Source organism: Homo sapiens, chromosome 3 (genome assembly GCF_000001405.40).
Source record: "Homo sapiens chromosome 3, GRCh38.p14 Primary Assembly".
In the NCBI taxonomy this organism is placed as follows: domain Eukaryota; kingdom Metazoa; phylum Chordata; class Mammalia; order Primates; family Hominidae; genus Homo; species Homo sapiens.
Window position 1 is genome coordinate 158829717 of NC_000003.12, and position 17902 is coordinate 158847618.

General features: G+C 44.1%; 1 pseudogene, besides 4 other annotated features; it reads right to left on the reverse strand.

The window, feature by feature from the left end:
* Nucleotides 10310-10510: a silencer, noted in NCBI's record as "peak4881 fragment used in MPRA reporter construct". NCBI's record gives its function as "represses an SCP1 promoter by STARR-seq MPRAs in K562 erythroleukemia cells {active_cell/tissue: K562}" and the evidence as "EXISTENCE:reporter gene assay evidence [ECO:0000049][PMID:32103011]".
* GPR79 (G protein-coupled receptor 79 (pseudogene)) lies at nucleotides 11351-12368 on the reverse strand (annotated as a pseudogene).
* Nucleotides 16164-16458: an enhancer, noted in NCBI's record as "tiled region #7446; K562 Activating non-DNase unmatched - State 13:Ctcf". NCBI's record gives its function as "activates a minimal TATA promoter and a strong SV40 promoter by Sharpr-MPRA in K562 cells {active_cell/tissue: K562}" and the evidence as "EXISTENCE:reporter gene assay evidence [ECO:0000049][PMID:27701403]".
* Nucleotides 17613-17662: an enhancer, noted in NCBI's record as "active region_20751". NCBI's record gives its function as "activates an Ori minimal core promoter by ATAC-STARR-seq in GM12878 lymphoblastoid cells {active_cell/tissue: GM12878}" and the evidence as "EXISTENCE:reporter gene assay evidence [ECO:0000049][PMID:35858748]".
* Nucleotides 17833-17902: an enhancer, noted in NCBI's record as "active region_20752". NCBI's record gives its function as "activates an Ori minimal core promoter by ATAC-STARR-seq in GM12878 lymphoblastoid cells {active_cell/tissue: GM12878}" and the evidence as "EXISTENCE:reporter gene assay evidence [ECO:0000049][PMID:35858748]".

The following is a 17902-nucleotide window of genomic DNA, read 5'->3' on the forward strand; positions in this document are numbered from 1 at the left end:
GTACTTGATGTCTTCTTTTGATTTTAAAAAATACAAAAACACTGATTTTAACTTTTATTCATGCAGAAGATTATCTAGAAGAAAACCCAAGTCAGAATAAAGAGAACTTGCCCAATTACAGTCACTGAAAGATTATGGGGGTAGCTTTTTCTCCAGAGTAGAACTTTAAGTAACATATGTGGTTTTTTTTATATTAAGTAAAATATGAGTATGAAGCTTCTCTGACAAACTTTAAATACTTTTTAATATTTTTCAGCCTTAACATATTATTTGTTAAAGTCAAAGAATGCAGATATTTTAGACAAGATATTAAACCAATGTATTTAGCTGATTATATTGTTTAAAGCACATGGCATGATATTGTAAGTGTAAATGTTTGGGAACAGATTGAAAGTACGTTCCTTATGCAAGGTAGCTTGGCAGCTTTATTTACATCTGTTTTTCTGACTTACAGTTTATTGTGTTGATATGACTTGTCTCTGTGTCCCTACCCAAATCTCATCTCGAATTGTAATCCCTATGTGTTTGAGGGAGGGACCTGGTGGGAGGTGACTGGATCATGGGGGCAGTTTCTCCTATGCTGTTCTTGTGATAGTGAGGGAATTCTCATGAGATCTCATGGTTTAAAAGTGTGGCACTTCCCCTTCACACTCTCTCTCTCTCTCCTACCACCATGTAAGATGTGCCTTGCTTCGCCTTTGCCTTCTTCCATGATTTTAAGTTTCCTGAGGCCTCCCAGCCATATGGAAGTGTGAGTCAGTTAAACCCCTGTAATTTACAAATTACCCAGTCTCAGGTAGTATCTTTATGGCAGTGTGAGAACTGACTAATACATGTGTCATTATTGAGTTGTTAGTTCTTTAGGCTCTGACGCCATATGACTGTTTCAGCACATGGGTGTTGAATACCTCACAAGTGGGGGAGAGTGCAGGAAGTCCACACTACTTCTGCTGGAAGGCCCATGTGGCCTGGCCTCTTGCCTTGTCTCTCCACCGCCTCTGTGCCCCAGCCACAGTGAGCTGCTTACATGTTTTCAAATGGGTTGTGTTCCTTTCCCTCCCAGCGGCTTTGTCCACACTGTTCCCTTTGCTTAGAATGTTTTCTCCAAGGCTCTCTAGAACCTGTTTTTACCTGATTTATACCAGAAAACCTTAGCCCCCAGCCCAGAACCATTCTTCCTCATGGAAGCTCTTCCAGATCCTTCAGGGTGTATTGGGTTCTTCTAAGTTGCTGTGATCTTGCAGTTTTCCTTTTTAGCTTACCTCAACTTAAAATAATGAAGAATCTCTGATAATGTGGGTGTGGGTGTCTCTCTCTTCCTTAAATTGGAAGCTCCTTGAGGGCAGGGACTGCGTCCGTTTTGTTATCGATGATTATATTGATAGTGCCTAGCAAAAGTAGGCACAAAATAAATATTTTTTTGAATGATATATAAAAAGAGTAAATTAGAATAACCCTTTTGGAGGATGAATTGGCAATATGAATAAAAAGACCTAAAAGGGGGATGGTGGTGGGCTAAATGCCTTTTGGCTTAGCAATTCCATTTCTAATAACTTGTCCTAAAGAAACCATCAGACAAATATACATGTAAATATATTTTAAGAAAGCGTCTTCACTGCCAGATTTTATAATAGCCTAAAGTATAATAGAAAGCCACTCTAATTTACAATAATAGGGGATTTGTTAAGTACATCATATTACATACCTAAAGTGAAATATTAAGTAGTCATTAAATGGTTTTGTTAGAGAACATATTGACATGGAATAATGTTGATGACATTTTCACACGGAAGATTCATAGTGGTGCCATTTTTATAAAAACAAATATATCTGCATGATATGTACACCAGTGTCTCTGAATGATGAATTTCTATTGGCTTATTTATGTTTTCTGATTTTTTTTCACAATAGCTCTTTATTGTGTAATGAAGGTTTTAAAAACCCCACAAAGAATATAGTTCAATGCAAGTTTGAGTCCTGCTGTTTTAAAGTGATAATGTTCAGAAGGGAGGAAAGGAACAGGTAGTGTTTTTCAAAGAACTCTGGGGGTGAAGATGGGAGTTCAACAGTGCCATGAGTTAGAAATCAAATTTGCATTGCCAGGAATAAAATTGCACGTAAAGGGAATTTTCAGAGACAAAATGGAAAAGAATGGTGTCAAGGATAAACGAAACAATGCCTTTATTTTTTAGTCCTAGTATTCACTGGTAGCAAACAACAGCTCCAACTTGTGTGCATGCTGCTCATGATATCTGGAAGGCCTCAACTGCAGCCTCATATCCTTTGCCCTCTTCCATTTGAGTGTTCCTGAGTGCCCCAGTGGGGATTTGGTTGTAAGCCTTCAGCAGTGATTTGCTGCCAAAAAGTTCATGGAAGAAAGCTTTGAGTTTTTGTAAGAAATACTAAAAAGCCCTGACATCGTGTAGGCCAGACAGCCAAACTTAGTATAACTTATTAACATTTATTTCTCTCAAGTATATTAGTGTATATGGTCATGCATTCCTGTGCACATATCTTTTCTTCAGTGGATCTTTATCAGTTCCAGGTTCTGGCAGCTGCCTGCTACAGTAATCCACTGTATTCCCAAAACTGATCTTCCCCTTGTAGATTTGGCAGATTTATTGTGTAATGCAAATCAGTGGACCTACAGGGCATTTCATTTCAGATTATCATGTACTTGTAGGCATTTGTCATTTTGTCTTTTTGAAGAGGATCACCTTCGGTGTGTGTCTTCCAAGTTTTACCACGTAGTAGCTTTTGTGTTTCCATTTTCTTATTAGCAAAATAGAAGATCACTAGAGTTCCTTCTATAGCACTCTCATTCTTAATTTATGAGACATAAGGATATGGCTAATATATGTTAGATGTGTATTGGTGGATGACCTAAAACATCTACAAATTTATCTCTCCATACCTTGTGTAGTTGATGGGTTGGGCAAGCTGGGCCTTCCTGGATTGCATTCACATTACTGTGGTAAGTAAATGAAGCACCCTGGAGGGGCAACAGAATGCCCTCTGGAATTTCTAAAAGTCAATGAGTTATCCCAAACAGCTGAAAGTGTGGGCTAACTTCTTGCAAGTCTTGCTCCCTCCCGCCAATATTGAGGCTTGTTCAGTTTTCCAAGGAAAATCCGATTATTGTGGGGGTTCTATGTCTTACCATGTTCAGATAGTTTTTAACCTTTGGAAGCCAACCCTGTCTGTCCTGGGGAAGAGGTAACGAAAAATTTCACGACAAATGGGAAACCCCCACCTCCAGCCCAGTAGAGCTCAGATTTCACAGGGTAAAGTGAACAAGAGATGGACAGTGGATAGAGTGGGTGGGAGGAGGATGAGAGAGAGGCTGGGCTGGAGCTGGAAGCAACAGGGTTCAAGAACTGGGAAGAGAAAATGGCTGGAGGTAGTAGGAAGGTGGGCCTGGCAGCAGGTCATCCCAGGATTTTAGAGTCATGCCTATGAGGTAAGTGTTAGAGGGAAGGTAAGAGTCCTCTTCCGGCTCTGGCAGGGTCCATGGAGGTAGAGGCCAGGCTTAGTGGATGGGAAGGTACAGGGAATGGGCCTGAGGACAATCATATTATCTCTTAAAATGTTTTCCGGCCGGGCGCGGTGGCTCACGCCTGTAATCCCAGCACTTTGGGAGGCTGAGGCGGGCGGATCACAAGGTCAGGAGATCGAGACCATCCCGGCTAAAACGGTGAAACCCCGTCTCTACTAAAAATACAAAAAATTAGCCGGGCGTAGTGGCGGGCGCCTGTAGTCCCAGCTACTTGGGAGGCTGAGGCAGGAGAATGGCGTGAACCCGGGAGGTGGAGCTTGCAGTGAGCCGAGATCCCGCCACTGCACTCCAGCCTGGGCGACAGAGCGAGACTCCGTCTCAAAAAAAAAAAAAAAAAAAAAAAAAAAATGTTTTCCATGACTTCTATTTTTTTTTTAGAATTCTGTGAATTTTAATAGAGATTTGTGCTATGACACCACAATTAGGATGCAGAACAAATAGTTCCTTAATGTTTCAAAGGAAAAATATTATAATTGCCTTTTAAGATAATGTATGTATTCTTTTCATGTGGAAATATTTGAATTATCTTAGAAAGTTCTAGTTTATTTGTCAGCACTTAGATTTTTAAAATGCTTTTTGAGTCTAATGACTAAGTACGTAAGGTTTTATGATCATGCTACTTAGTATGTTTCGTAGACAATTTTTCACCTTTTAACATTTCTGAAATTGGGATGTGTCTTATCTTTGTTCGCATTTCATGATTCAAAGAAGTACAGTAGTGGGGAAAACCAAGCATGATGCTTGTGGCAATGTCATGTTGCTTCCTGAGTAAGATGTTCATGGGCTTCTGGGTCTTCGTGTCTGGCATCATTGACTCCGAGGCTCTTTGCTAGACCTGGCAACTCAGAGATGTGGAAAGCGTGGACCACCTTGCTCAAGGGTCTCATGAATGAGTGGGGAAATAGACAGAGGATCAGTGATTCAGTGACTCTGATACAGCGTGATGAGGGCTGTCAGAGCAATGACAAGACTTAATAAGGTTCAGAGAACCTAGGACACCTGCATGATTTGAAGAGGAGGTGATCTTTGAGCTGCATTGTAAAGGGTGAGTAGGATAGCTCATCTAAAGCTGAGAAGGTGCAGGATGGGAGGGAGGAGGAGAAGACGTCCCAGAGCTAATCCTGAGAGAGGCTGCTGGTGAATGGAAATGAAATGAAAGTGACATGTGGGGAATTTAGTTGTGCAAGGCAGATCACTGAAGTCTGTTTCTTCGATGTTCAGGATTGTGATCATAATCTTTTGAGCTTCTGGAAGATATTAATGCTGGTGATTCTCAAGGTAGGATTTGAATTTTAGAAAGGTGACCCTTTAAGCAGTAGGAATGGAATGGATTGGGGGTTGAGGGGAACAAATTTGGAGGCAGGAGAATGGTTAATAGGTTGGAGCATTGAAGCTGGAGACATGATGGGCCTTGAATTAAGGCAGTGGTAGTGAAGATGGAAAGGAGGGACAGGTGCTTATGGTGCTTGGGAGGTTGAACTGACAGGTGGTCATTTGCTGGATGTGAGGTCGGGGAGAGGCCAGAGTTAAGGACGACTCCCAGACTCCTGCCTAGGGTGGACATTGGTGCCATTCAGCCATCAAGACCGCAGGTGAGAAGGTGCAGGGTTGGGAGGAAAATGAGTTTAGTTTTGGCATTGCGGAGCTTGCGGTGCCCGAGATTTGTATGAACAGGAACATGGGTTCAAAATGTGAGAGAGGATTGCTCTGGGGTGTGATTTGGGAGCCATCGGGGAGTCAGTGAGATTGCTCAGAAAGAATGTGGGATAAGATAAGAGGGCCAAGGACAGAGTCCTGGGTCACATCCACTCACCCGGTGTGAGCAGGGAGAGATGCAGTCTATGGAAGCTAAAGAGGTTTTAAGAGGGAGTGAGTGGGCCGGGCGTGGTGGCTCATGCCTGTAAACCCAGCACTTTGGGAGGCCGAGGCGGGTGGATCACCTGAGGTCAGGAGTTTGAGACCAGCCTGGCCAATATGGTGAAACCCCATCTCTACTAAAAATACAAAAATTAGCTGGGCGTGGTAGCGAGCGCCTGTCATCCCAGCTACTCGGGAGGCTGAGGCAGGAGAATTGCTTGAACCCGGGAGGTGGAGGTTGCAGTGAGCCAAGATTGTGCCATTGCACTGCAGCCTGGGTGACAAGAGTGAAACTCCGTCTCAAAAACAAACAAACAAACAAACAAACAAACGGAGTGAGTGACAGTGTCAAATGCCAAGAAAGGTAGAGAGGATAGGGGCTGACAGTGTCTGTTTAACTTGTAACTGGGAAGTCATTAGTTTTTTTTGAGAGGAATTTCAGTGGACTGAGGTGGCGGGGTAGGCAGCAGCCAGGGTATAATGATTTGGAGTATGAATTCAAGGTAGAAATTACAGTAAAAATTGTAGCCTGCCCTTGCAAGAAACTAGGCTATAAAAGAAGAGAGTGTAAGAAGGTCTTCAGAGGCTGCTGCTTTGACTGTCGGGTTAATGCTTTATAAAGTCCTCTTTATTAATGTGTTTTTCTACTTGCAGAGTAGAACATTCTCAGACTCTGCGATTCTTTAATTTTCCTGAAGTGGCACTCTTTGCTTTTTGTTCATGATTTAACCACTATAAAAATGCCCAGCTACAGCTTGCTGCAAGAACATAAGTTTGGCTTCTTATCATGGAATTCTTTTTGAGGCCATTACCTTTGAAGTTGTTTGATACGTTAACAAAAAAAATCCTCAACAAAACAAAAAGTTGGGAAGTACAAATACTAAAGAGATTTAGCTTGTTTATAGGAAAGTAAAAGATAATGAGACTATGTAACTTTATAAGCTCAGGTTATGCTTAATTGCAAGCAATTAAAAACTTTCCCCTTTTTATTGCCTTTGAAATATGGGATAAAAGGAAAAAGTGAGAATGCTTGCAGGTTGTGTATCCTGGGACTGCTTTGAATTGAAGTCGGTGGGTGTTAGAACAAATAAATCCCAAAGAACTTGTGATTTAGTTTTATAGGCACACATTCATAAATTGGATTTTTCAGTAATTCCAGAAAAGCACACACAGGAGAAGCATTTGTTATGTATTCATTTATTCCTCAGTGTTTTAGTGAGCACCCATATGCTCAAGCCTCTGCTAGATCTCGGGGTGAGGGAGATAAAAGGATTTAAATAATGCCCCTCATACTTTGCAGAAGGGGAGATGTGCTAAGAGAGGTGTGGAGGATGTTCAGAGAAGAGAGGGCCTTCTGATGAGTGATCCAGGGAGGCTTCTCGGAAGAGGTGGCATTTGAGCTGTTTGCTGAGAGACAGACAACTGTTACAACTGTTCATTCTCTTTGACTAGTTTGTTTCATGTTAACACCCTTGACTTCTCTGTGTCTTGACCCTGTTTACTTACTTGATTTTCTGATGCTCTGTTATCCGAGAGCAACTCCTGTCCTCCACTCTGTCATGCTTTCTATGATTCCTGTGTATCCTAGGTCCTCTGTTCTTTTTCTTCACTTCTCTCTCAGAGATACCATTTTCTGATTCAGCTCTGTATATTTGCCCACCCAGTTGGCCCCAAACCCAGAGCTTGAGATTCGGTTCTCTCTCAACCTCCACCCTGCATTTCCAACTTGAGGTCTCACTAGCAGCTAACAGTAGCTTGTCTAAATCTGAGCTCTCCCTAACAGCACACAGTCCCCTCCCTCCCTTCCTCCCTTGCCCACCCACTGAGTGCTAGGTGCTAGTTGATCATTCTTCTGATTCCCGTGGCTCAGAGTCTCAGAGTAGTTTTTGTTATGTCTCCCTACCAGCCGTGTTTAATCCTTTTATTTCTGTTTTTTCCAATACGTTTAAAAATTTTAGTTCTCCTTATGCCACCTTAGCCTGCCTGTTAAATGCATTCTTGGATCCCTGCAGTGGTCTTCTAAATATTGATCATCTTTCTTTTCATGATTGACATCACCTGTGCCCACTGTCTACCACACTTGCAATGTTGCTGGGATACCATGTTCTATGGGTTGAAAAATGGAGTTGTGAGGGAGATAAAACAGACCTGAAATGATAAAGGAGCCCATGTCAACTTCAAGGCAATAAGCCCCATGGGAGAGTCAGCAGTGCAGAGGTCTGAGGCAATTGGAGGATGCCAAGCCCATGGCCTGTGGAAGGTGGGAACGTAGGCATTTGGAGAAGGCTTTGTCAGGGATTATAAAGAGGTAGATGACAGGCCCGTGGCAAATGTGAGAGAGGTGGGAAGCCACAGGGTGTGGTGAGAGAGCCATGAGTTGAAGAGTTCAGCTGGGACTAGACTGTGACATGGCTAGCATGTCAGCGTGAGGGAGCTGGGCTTTATTCTGTGGAAGTGAAGATACAGGGGAGAGTGGACAATTGGGGAGGATGGGATGTATGGAAAATACTGTTCTAAAGAAAATCTGGAGATGCTGTGAAGGGAAGGGAGGTCAATATGGAGACTTTGAAGGAGTCTAAGCTGTGACATTTTCTTTAATTCATTCAAAACATGGGGGAGCTGCCAGATTAAGTTTCTAAATCATGACTTTGATCATACTGCACTTCTGCTGAAATGCCGTTGGTGATTCCTCCTGGCATGAGAAGTGGTTCTTTCACTGGCATTAGGGGGGCTTCATCATCACATGTCAGCCTGCCCTTCCAGCATTGTCTCCAACTCCTCACCTTCAGGAACCAACCAATGACTTTCACACAAATTAAATTTGCTCACAGTGATCTCTCTTTCCATTTTCTCCACTGCTTGGGACATTCTCCTGGTTGAAATTTCTCCCAGCCTTCAGTGTACTCATAGGCTCTTCATGGCTCTCTCAGCCTGAGTGCTCTCAGTCCCCTTTGAAACTCCTCTAACGCTTACTGCCTGTATTATTCATTTTGATAATCAACAACTGACATAATTTCTTCTGTAGCTGCTTAAGCTGTTAGTACCCATATTGTTGTTTGTATGTTTTTATATTTTGCTTCTCCAACAGTCTATAACTTCCTTAAGGGTTGGGATTGTGTTTGACACTTTTGTAGCTTGCTATAGCCATCATATTTTCATCCAATATGAAAATACTAGCTCCAGTGACTGTATTTTGAACATCATAGTATTTGCTGACCTTCGGTTCTGTTTTAACCTGTCCAAACAATCAGGAAGATTAGGGAAGATTCTGAGGGCCCCAGGGGGATAACGGATTTGAGGATCCCAACTTTCCCCAGGGTGGAGGGCATTGAATGGGTAAATTCAGGAAGGACATTTTTTTCCCCTGGTTTTCTTATCCCCTTTTATAGGTGAGTTTTCTCTAATCACAAAGGAAGTGATGAATATCGTCTTGCCTCAGGTTCCACAGTGGATTCCTAGTTCTACTTACAATGGGGTCCTTTTCCTGAAGGGAATAGCCTAGTTTGATCCTAGTCTCTTGAGATAATTGTCCCTGAAAACCCAGGATATGATGTCAACTCAGTTAAACTTTTTTGATCCTAACTGTCCAGAAATAAGTTAAAAATGGATGTTTATACTTTGCTGTTAAGTAGGTCAAAAAACTGCAGAGCAATTTAGCCTTATATGGATCAGAGAAATAATTGCAAGCACATAGGTTAACAAGAAATTAAAGGCAGGAAATCTTTGGCTAGGAGTGTAATGTACTTTCTTTTTAGAAAAGACAGTGCATCCTGAGGATTCTGCATTAGTTTTCTTTCCACTTCCAGGGTTGAAAGGCTGATGGGCATAGAGCTAGTGGCTTTATGGCATATGGGCTGGCTCCAAGCCTTTCCTGGGGGAGCCTGGTGCACCGGTTTCTCCAGTAACGTGAAACCTTATTAATTTGTAAGGGGTGATAATCAAAACTGTAACTCAGCTGAAACTTGCCTATGTGTTATGCAAAGAAAGGGCCAGAAATTAATGATATGAGCCAGAGAGCTGAGAGAATGTTCAAAAGAGCAAACATTTTAAGCTCTCTCAGCTCCTATAGAAACATTTATTTATGTGGAAACAGCTGACCTGCTAATTAGAAAACATCCTTGCCTATTCATTAAACCAATTATCCTGAGGAATTCTGCTAAGCAACACTTAGTCCAGTTCTAATTATTGTGTGTCCTTGAAAGCAATAAACTGTACTTTTAGAATAAAATGTTATAATGTAGGCATATACATGGTTTACTCAGACATTTCCCATAATTGGAGTGAGATAGTAATGAGGGGTTATGCTTGTTTCTTATAAAAAGAATTTAACCACCTTCTCTTCATAGGGAGATTAGTGAATTATTAGATAATTTTTTTTTTAAGAGTTTCGCTCTTGTTGCCCAGGCTGGAGTGCAGTGGCGTAGTTTCAGCTCACTGCAACCTCCGCCTCCCGGGTTCAAGCGATTCTCCTTTCTCAGCCTCCCGAGTAGCTGGGATTATAGGCACCCGCCACCACGCCCAGCTAATTTTTGTATTTTTAGTAGAGATGGGGTTTCACCATGTTGGCCAGATTGGTCTCGAACTCCTGACCTCAGGTGATCCGCCCGCCTTGGCCTCCCAAAGTGCTGGGATTACAGGCATGAGCCACTGTGCCCAGCCTAGATAATGTTATGTATAGACCTGAGAAATCCTTGGAAATCATTATTGTTATAAATGAGAGGTTTTTTTTAAGGTTATCTTTTTGGATTACCTTGCATCTTAACTAAAAAAAGTCTTTTTAGGGAATAAACATCATTATGACTTAAGACATTGATGAAGTTTTTTTTCATAATCTCCAACATCATGTTTAAATTTAAATAAAAATGAAGCGAATCAGTTTTCTTGAAGCCACTTTACTCTGTATCTCCCATTTTATCCTGCATAGCTTTTACTAACAAAAACACTGGTTAAGAAATGTAGTAAAAGACCACACAAGGTCTCCTCAGTGTTCTGCAGATAACAGCAACTGTGTCAACAAGCGAGCCGGCCTAAAATGACAAGCCGATATTGTCAAGGAGAACTTGGGCCAGCTCTAGGCTGGTGTTTGGATGGGGGCATAGCTTTCACGCTTAGGAGCATGTGCTTCAGAGGCCACTGCCTGGCTTTGAAAGCTCCATTCAACCCTATGATCTGGGCATTCTCCCACTGGGTAAGCCTGAACAAGTTACTTTGAGCTGTGCGTGTCAGTTTCCTTCTCTGTAAATGGAGGAAACAATGGCCTCCACCACAAGGGATTATTGTGAGGGTTAAATGAGTTCCTCCATGCAAAGGTGCTCTTTCATAGTAAGGGTTTCATTTACAGGTCCATTTGCTCACTCATTCATTCAGCCCCTATCTGTTGTGCCCTTACTATGTGCCAGGCCCTGCTATGGAGGCTGGTATTGAGGGGTCAGCCATCAGAGGAGATCTCTGTCCTATTGGAGCATATAATTCAGTGGAAAGAGATCATAAATAAGTAAATGAATCACCAAGTCCAGATAGTAATAAATGTTGCAAAGACAATATATAAGGGAATACAGTGATTGGGTTATGAGGAGAGAGGTCAACATTAGCTAGGGTGGGCAGGAGTGGTCTCTGAGAAGGTGACATTTGAGCTGAGACCTGAATGACAAGAGACCAATGTCAGCTCTCTTTAAGAAAGTTTTCCTTTGTTTTAGTGGCTCTCTCCATACTCTTATTTTAAACTCACTTAACATCAATATAAAAGTGTCCTTTGCAGCAGGACACTTTTAGGAGGTCTTGAGCCCCTCTCCCACCAGCACTCATCTGTGTACAAACAAGTTGTTGCTAGTGGTGTTGGAGCTCGTTTTTCCCAAGCTTCACCTTGGCATTACCCAGATCTGTTCAACCCTGGGCATCTCTTCCTCCCAGCTGGATGCTCACCCAACTTGTTCTGCCTCAGTTTCTGGAGGAGCCTGACTCTATTTTTGCCCCCCTTGAAAGAAAGTACAGGACTGGGTTGAGGCAGCTGCTCACACTCACCAGAGGCCTCCATATCTTGTAGGCCACACTGGCTGCCATCAAGAGCTGGCAGTCCTGAGAAAGCAGAAAGCAGATGGTGAGGTAGAAGGAGCGAGTGATATGGAAGGGCACAAAACAGAGGGTGAAGAGGCCACACACCAGTAGGATGGTCCGGATGGACCTGGCTCGGGCTGTGTTGCCTGTCCTCATGAGGTTCTCCTCTGGCTTGATCAGGCTCCTGACCATCAGTGAATAGCACACCAAAATGACCAAGGAGGGAAAGAAAGCCAGACAATGTCAGAACTATGCCGTAGGCAAAAAGCCGATCAAAATTCTCTTGGCTGGTCATGTCATACCAGATCATCTGGCCATTGATGTAGTCCGTGTGGGAGAAGGCCAGTGTGGGCAGCAGCTGGAGGACCACCAGGGCCCAGGTGGTGCTGGTGCCCAGCCAGGCATGCCTGCGGGTCCGGTAGGGCAGCGAACACAGTGGGTGGCACACACCTAGGAACTGGTGCACAGAGATGCAGGTCAGCAGCAGGATGCTGCCGTAAAGGTTGATATAGAACAGGAAGTGCACCAGCTTGCAGAGCAGCTCCCCGAAGGGCCACCTGTCATCTAGTGAGTAGGTGATGATGAGGAAGGGCAATAGCACATAAAGCAGGTCGGCCACCATCAGGTTCACCAGATAGGTGGTGGCACAGCTCCAGCGCTTGGTTTGGCCCCAGGAGTGCCACAAGACAGTGCCATTTAGTGGCAGCCCTAGGATAAAGATGATACTGTAGGCCAGGGAGAGGTAGACTTGCTTGTACTTCTCTGAGAACTGGCAGAGACCTTGTTCCTGTGATGTATTCATGTCCACCTTCTCCATGTCCCGGGAGGCTCCCTCCAGGAGCAGAGCTCCACGACGGCTCCCGCTTCTGCTTCCCCTGGAAGGAAGCAAAATGGACAGCATAACATCATGACCTCAGCATGGCATCAGCCTCTGCCCCAACCCGGCATTCAACTTTGTCCCCCAAAGTCTAGTCAGAGGCCTTGTTTAAAAGAGACCAACCCCAGGAAAATAGAGTATTCAACAAGGGCCAAATAATCTTCCAAAGCTGGGCGTCTAGACTTACCAGGTCCAAAGGGTTGGCCTTACATGGACTTGTATGCTGTCTACTCTAGGCTGGGTTGTGATAGAAATGGTGGTGGGATGACACTGTCATTTAAACAGGGTACTCAGAACCTCCAGCTCTGTGTCTCCTCCTGCTAGAATCCATTGCATAGAGTCAGAAAATCTCCAAGGGGAGGTATTCTAGCCAGAAAAGCAGGTATATTCCCAGGGGCCGAAACTGCCCACAATTTGGTCCTAACCACATAGGCCATAGTAGAGTAGCAAGTGACCCTTGGGGATTAGAGAGGATTAGGGAAAGCCCAGGTTTTGCCTACAGGCTCTGCTGGAGGATTTTGATTTGTATCTCTTTCAGGATTTCTTAACTGAGTATTTGAATACTGGGGCTGATTTGCTTATTAACCATCTTAGCATCTGAGCATCCAAGAAAACAAATCTGAGCCATGAAGCCAGGTGCAGCTTCTTCCTTATTCCTTCCTTGCTGACAAAGTAGATGCAATAGGTGGGCCCAAGTAGCTAAGGAAGCCGTGTGCAGAGCCTGAAGGGGTGCCAGTGTGTGGGCCAGCCAATCAGCATGGAGCCCACGGGAACTGAAAGATGTTTAATTCTGGGGCTTCATACTAGAAACTTAATATTTAGAAAGACAGGTTAAAACAAGGGAAGAGAGAAAAGCATAAGTTAGGTAATTTTGGGGATAAGTTGAGTGTTGCCTGCAAACTATGGTATAGACAGAACCAAAGAAACAGAGACTTAATTAACTCTGTCAATCAACATTTATTGAGCATTTGTTGAGTCAGGCACTGGGAACATGAAGATGAATAAGACACAGCTCTTGCTTTCCAGGAACTCACAGTCTGGTGGGGGAAGACATAAATGGATACAGCTGATTGTAAAATGATGTGAAAAATGGTCAACAAAGTGCTGTGAAAATCAGCAGGATACAGCCAATTCTCCCCTGAGGGAATTGAGGGCAGGCTTCTTAGAATAGGCAGCATTTGAACTGCTTGGGAGAAGAAACATGAGCTTGCTAGCAGAGACGGGTGAGAGGCATTGGGTAGGGGGACTGCACACCCAAGGGAATGGAAGCCGAAAGGGCACAGTGTGTCCAGGGAGGGCAGGAGAGTCAGCCGCTGTAAGGAGGATGTCTTAGCAGGACAGTGATGGAATATGGCTACTGTGATGGTTAGTTTCAGGTATCAACTTGACCGGGTTAAGGGATACCCAGGTAGCTGGTAAAGTGTTATTTCTGGGTATGCCTTTGAAGGTGTTTCTGACAGAGATTAGCCTGTGAGTCAGTGGACCGAGTAAGGAAGAGCCACCCTCACCCAGTGTGAGCGGGCACCATCCAATCAGGTTGAGGGCCTGGATAGAAAAAAAAGGCAGAGGAAAAGCATATTCACTGTTTCTGCTGGAGCTGGGACACTCTTCTCCTGCCCTTGGACATCAGAACTCCAGGTTCACTGGCATTTGGACTCTGGGACCTGCACCATCTGCCCTCTGGGTTCTCAGGCCTTCAGCCTCAGACAGTTACACCATTGGATCCCCTGATTCTGAGGCCTTTTGACTCAGAATGTGCCACACCGCCGGCATCCCTGCTTCCCCCGCTGGCAGATGGCATATCGTCGGACTTCTCGGCCCCATAACTGCTCAAGCCAACTCCCATAGCAAATCCCCTCTCCTGTATCTGTATAGGAAGTATAGATGGCAATATGGTCCTGGGCCTGGAACAGAGAGAGTGACTGGTCAGACCAGTGTGGGGCTGTTGAAGTGCACGCAGGTGACAAATGACCAGCATCCCAAGCAAGCCCATGCAGGGTGGATGCAGAGCAGGAGATGCTGCTGAGGCAGGAGTGACGGGCCTCATTGGATGTGAGGCATGAGCCAGATGAGTTGAGGGTGTGTCTGAGCTCTACAATGTTGATGACTGTGTGGGTGGTGAGGGTCTGAGGTGAGCACCAGGCTGAGGACTGGAGTTCTGAGGTTGGTGCGGGGGACAGTGGCTCTCCATGAGGTTGGTGCAGGGGACGGTGGCTTTCCATGCCTCAGCCTGCTGAGGGGCTCACCACCCTGCTCCCTGGCTTTAAAATCTGGAGAGCAAAGTTTTTATGGCTGGGCGAGTAAAAAAGCTGTTTTCATTCATTTTGTACCCTATAATTTGTTCATCTGGGGGGCTGGAAAATGCTTAGTAATTTCTGGTGAAGCTGCCTTCCCATCTCCGTGTTGGCTCTTGGAGGGAAGCCGAGGCGGGAATCCACCATGATTTAGCACTGGCTTGGGTCTGGCAGTCCACCCACATGATCTTACTTAATCCTCAGAACAACCTTGTGAGCAAAACATTATTACCCCTGTTTTATGATGAGGAGATTGAGGGTCAGAGAATCCTCTAGGGCCTATTAGGACCCCTAGTCTAGTAGGCAGTACTCTGATCTGGCCCATGGGCTAATGCCCTTCAAAGGACTGTTTTGGGGTAGTGAGAAGTGCTCAAATCCCACCTGTGCCAGGAACAAGTATGCCTTCTAAAGCGCTCACCATATCTCTGAGCCATGATTTCCTCAGCTGTTGTAAAATGAGACAATCCCTTTCTGGGGAGACTGCTGTGAGAATTACCTAGAAGAGAGGCAAGTGCCCCACAGGGCTGCCACGAGGGAGAGAACCCACACATTTTCTCTTTCCCTCTCTTCCCTCTGCCTCTTTTAGAGACAGTGGTAACCTGGAGACCTGAGCTCTTTGGTTTATGTGGCTGGGTGGGAGGGCAGGTGTGGCTTTGCTACCCCAGGATGGACAGGGTCACTTTATCCCTGTCTGTTACTGTCTGTGGACCCAATTTTATCCACCACTGATTCATATGTTGAAGCCCTAACCCCAACGTGACTGTATTTGGAGTAAGAAAGTAATTGTGGTTAACTGAGGTCATAAGGATGGGGCCTAATCTGATATGATTGGTGTTCTTATTAAAAGGAACACTGGCTGGGCACGGTGGCTCATGCCTGTAATCCCAGCTCTTTGGGAAGTAGAGGTGGGAGGATCATTTCAGGTCTGGAGTTCGAGACCAGCCTGGCCAACATGATGAAACCCCATCATTACTAGAAATACAAAAATTAGCAGGGCGTGTTGGCGAGCGCCTGAAATCCCAGCTACTCGGGAGGTTGAGGCAGGAGAATTGCTTGAACCCGGGAGGCAGAGGTTGCAGTGAGCCAAGATTGTGCCACTGGACTCCAGCCTGGGAGACAGAGTGAGACTCCGTCTCAGGGAAAACAACAACAGCAACAACAACAACAACAAAACAGAAACAAAGGGACACCAGAAAGCTTGCTCTCTCTGCCATGTGAACACATGGATTTAAATCTGTGAGTTGACTTTAGCATTTAATATTTTATCTCCATCTGGAGAATATCTTGAACAAATGAAACCATTTGATGGAGTCTCATAAATGCCTTCAGACAGTAAAAGTTTGTTTTTATAAGTTTTTAAAAATAATAACTTGATTCATATGTACAATTCTTAATTTGCAAAGATGAACTAGGGACTTATTTACATCACAGCATAATTACTTGATTTTTAACAGGTTTATATAAGGGGGGCCCCCTGTGTACAATTAATTAGGTGGTGGATTAAAGTAGCAGGTGGTTTTTTTGGAATTAATTTTCTAACGTGCTTCAAATCCACTGGATAACTTGATGTTATTTGTCCACCTGACCACTAGGTGGCAATAAAGACCAACAGGTTACAATCCCTCCCGCTACCTGCTGCCCCGCCTCAACCCCAGAAATGGAAGCCAGAATTAGGGTCTTGTCCAGGTATAGCAGCTGTGAAAGAGATATGATTCATTGAAGACATGTAAAAAAATCCCACCGATCAAAGAATCTCCTATTGGTCTGTTGTCTGCAGTTACTATGTTAGGTTCACACAAAGGAATAGAGTGTAGCCAGTTGAAAGCTGCCTGTTGGGATGATTCTTCAGACTATCCCGTGAGATAGGCATGGCAGGCACCTTTCCCCCATTTTACAGCTGAGGAAACTGAGGTTCAGAGAGGTTAAGTAGAAGTCATGTCTGTGGTGATTTGGGGAAAGCCTGGACTTTTTACAAAGCAAAGATTCAGCAAGTTCCCAGATTTCCGGGGAATGTTTTCTTACCTACTTGTCCCTCCAGTGCCTGTCACCACCACCTGGAAGAAGAAAGACATGGAAATAAAATAGCAAGTCATCTCTCAAGTCACTAGATATAGCACCTCTGTCATAGATGACAGAACCCTAGCTCAAAAAGCATGATCTGGAGATAATAAAAAGAAAGATAATATATAATATTAAAATAAAAACTGACAAGAGTGAGACCCCTCTCCCATCCAAGTACTAACCAGGCCCAACCCTGCTTGGCTTCTGATATCAGGCGCATTTAAGGTGGCATGGCTGTAGACACATAGCAACCCTATACTCAGTTTAAGATATACCTTGAGTCTGATCATAAACGGCACTGATGTTAGCTTTTTAATGATTTTGTATTATATTTTTACAACGTAGGCTTACATTTTCTCTGTACCTGGGCCCCTCTTCCATGTTTGAATTGTCCTGAAATATGGGAATCCAAGGGCTTTTATTTTTTCACAATCAAAGCAAATTGGGTTCTTTAAATAATTTAGAAGACTTTCTAGAGACAGTGAGTACTTAATTTCAATAATTAATTTGTACAGCAGCTTGCACATTTTTGTGTTCTGTTTACAAGGATCTGACACAAGTTCAACTTTGTGTAAACAGGGAGTGATTGGGAAACTTGTATTGTCACAGCAGAGAAGGTGGCTGCTCTGAAATCAGTGTGACTCTGGAAAAATAATTACTACCTTTCTCTTTTTAATCCGTATGTACATTTGTGTGATACCCCAAATTGACTCTGAAATCAGAATTTTTAAACTCAATTAATGATGTGGTAAAAATAGCTGTAGCTATATTGTCCTGTAGTTGTGAAAGCCCATCACTGCCTCTAGGCTCAGGACTCTGAAAGGGGATTTTGAAAAAATCTTTTTCCTTTTACTTTCATTTAGCATCAAAGATCTTTAAATGCATCATGACTGAGTCTTTCCTGTGTGCTGTGTATGAAGAAATGTAAAAAGCTGGTTTGGTTTGGGGCAAGATAAGATATCAGTTGCAGAGCCGGGGGCTCCAGGAGTCGTGGCAAAGTTGCCTAAGGCATCTGCAGAGTAGGGGCTGTATCCCAGGACCCCTCCTTTGATCTGGTCTTACCCTCAGGCAGCATGTTCCCCTGACAGCCTGCCTGGAAAATGCTACTTACAGTGCTAACACCCTGGTGTGCTGCCCACCATCAGAGCTTTCTTGTTGCTATAGGATTTCTGGGGTGGGAGGGTGGTGCTGGCGGGGGAAGAA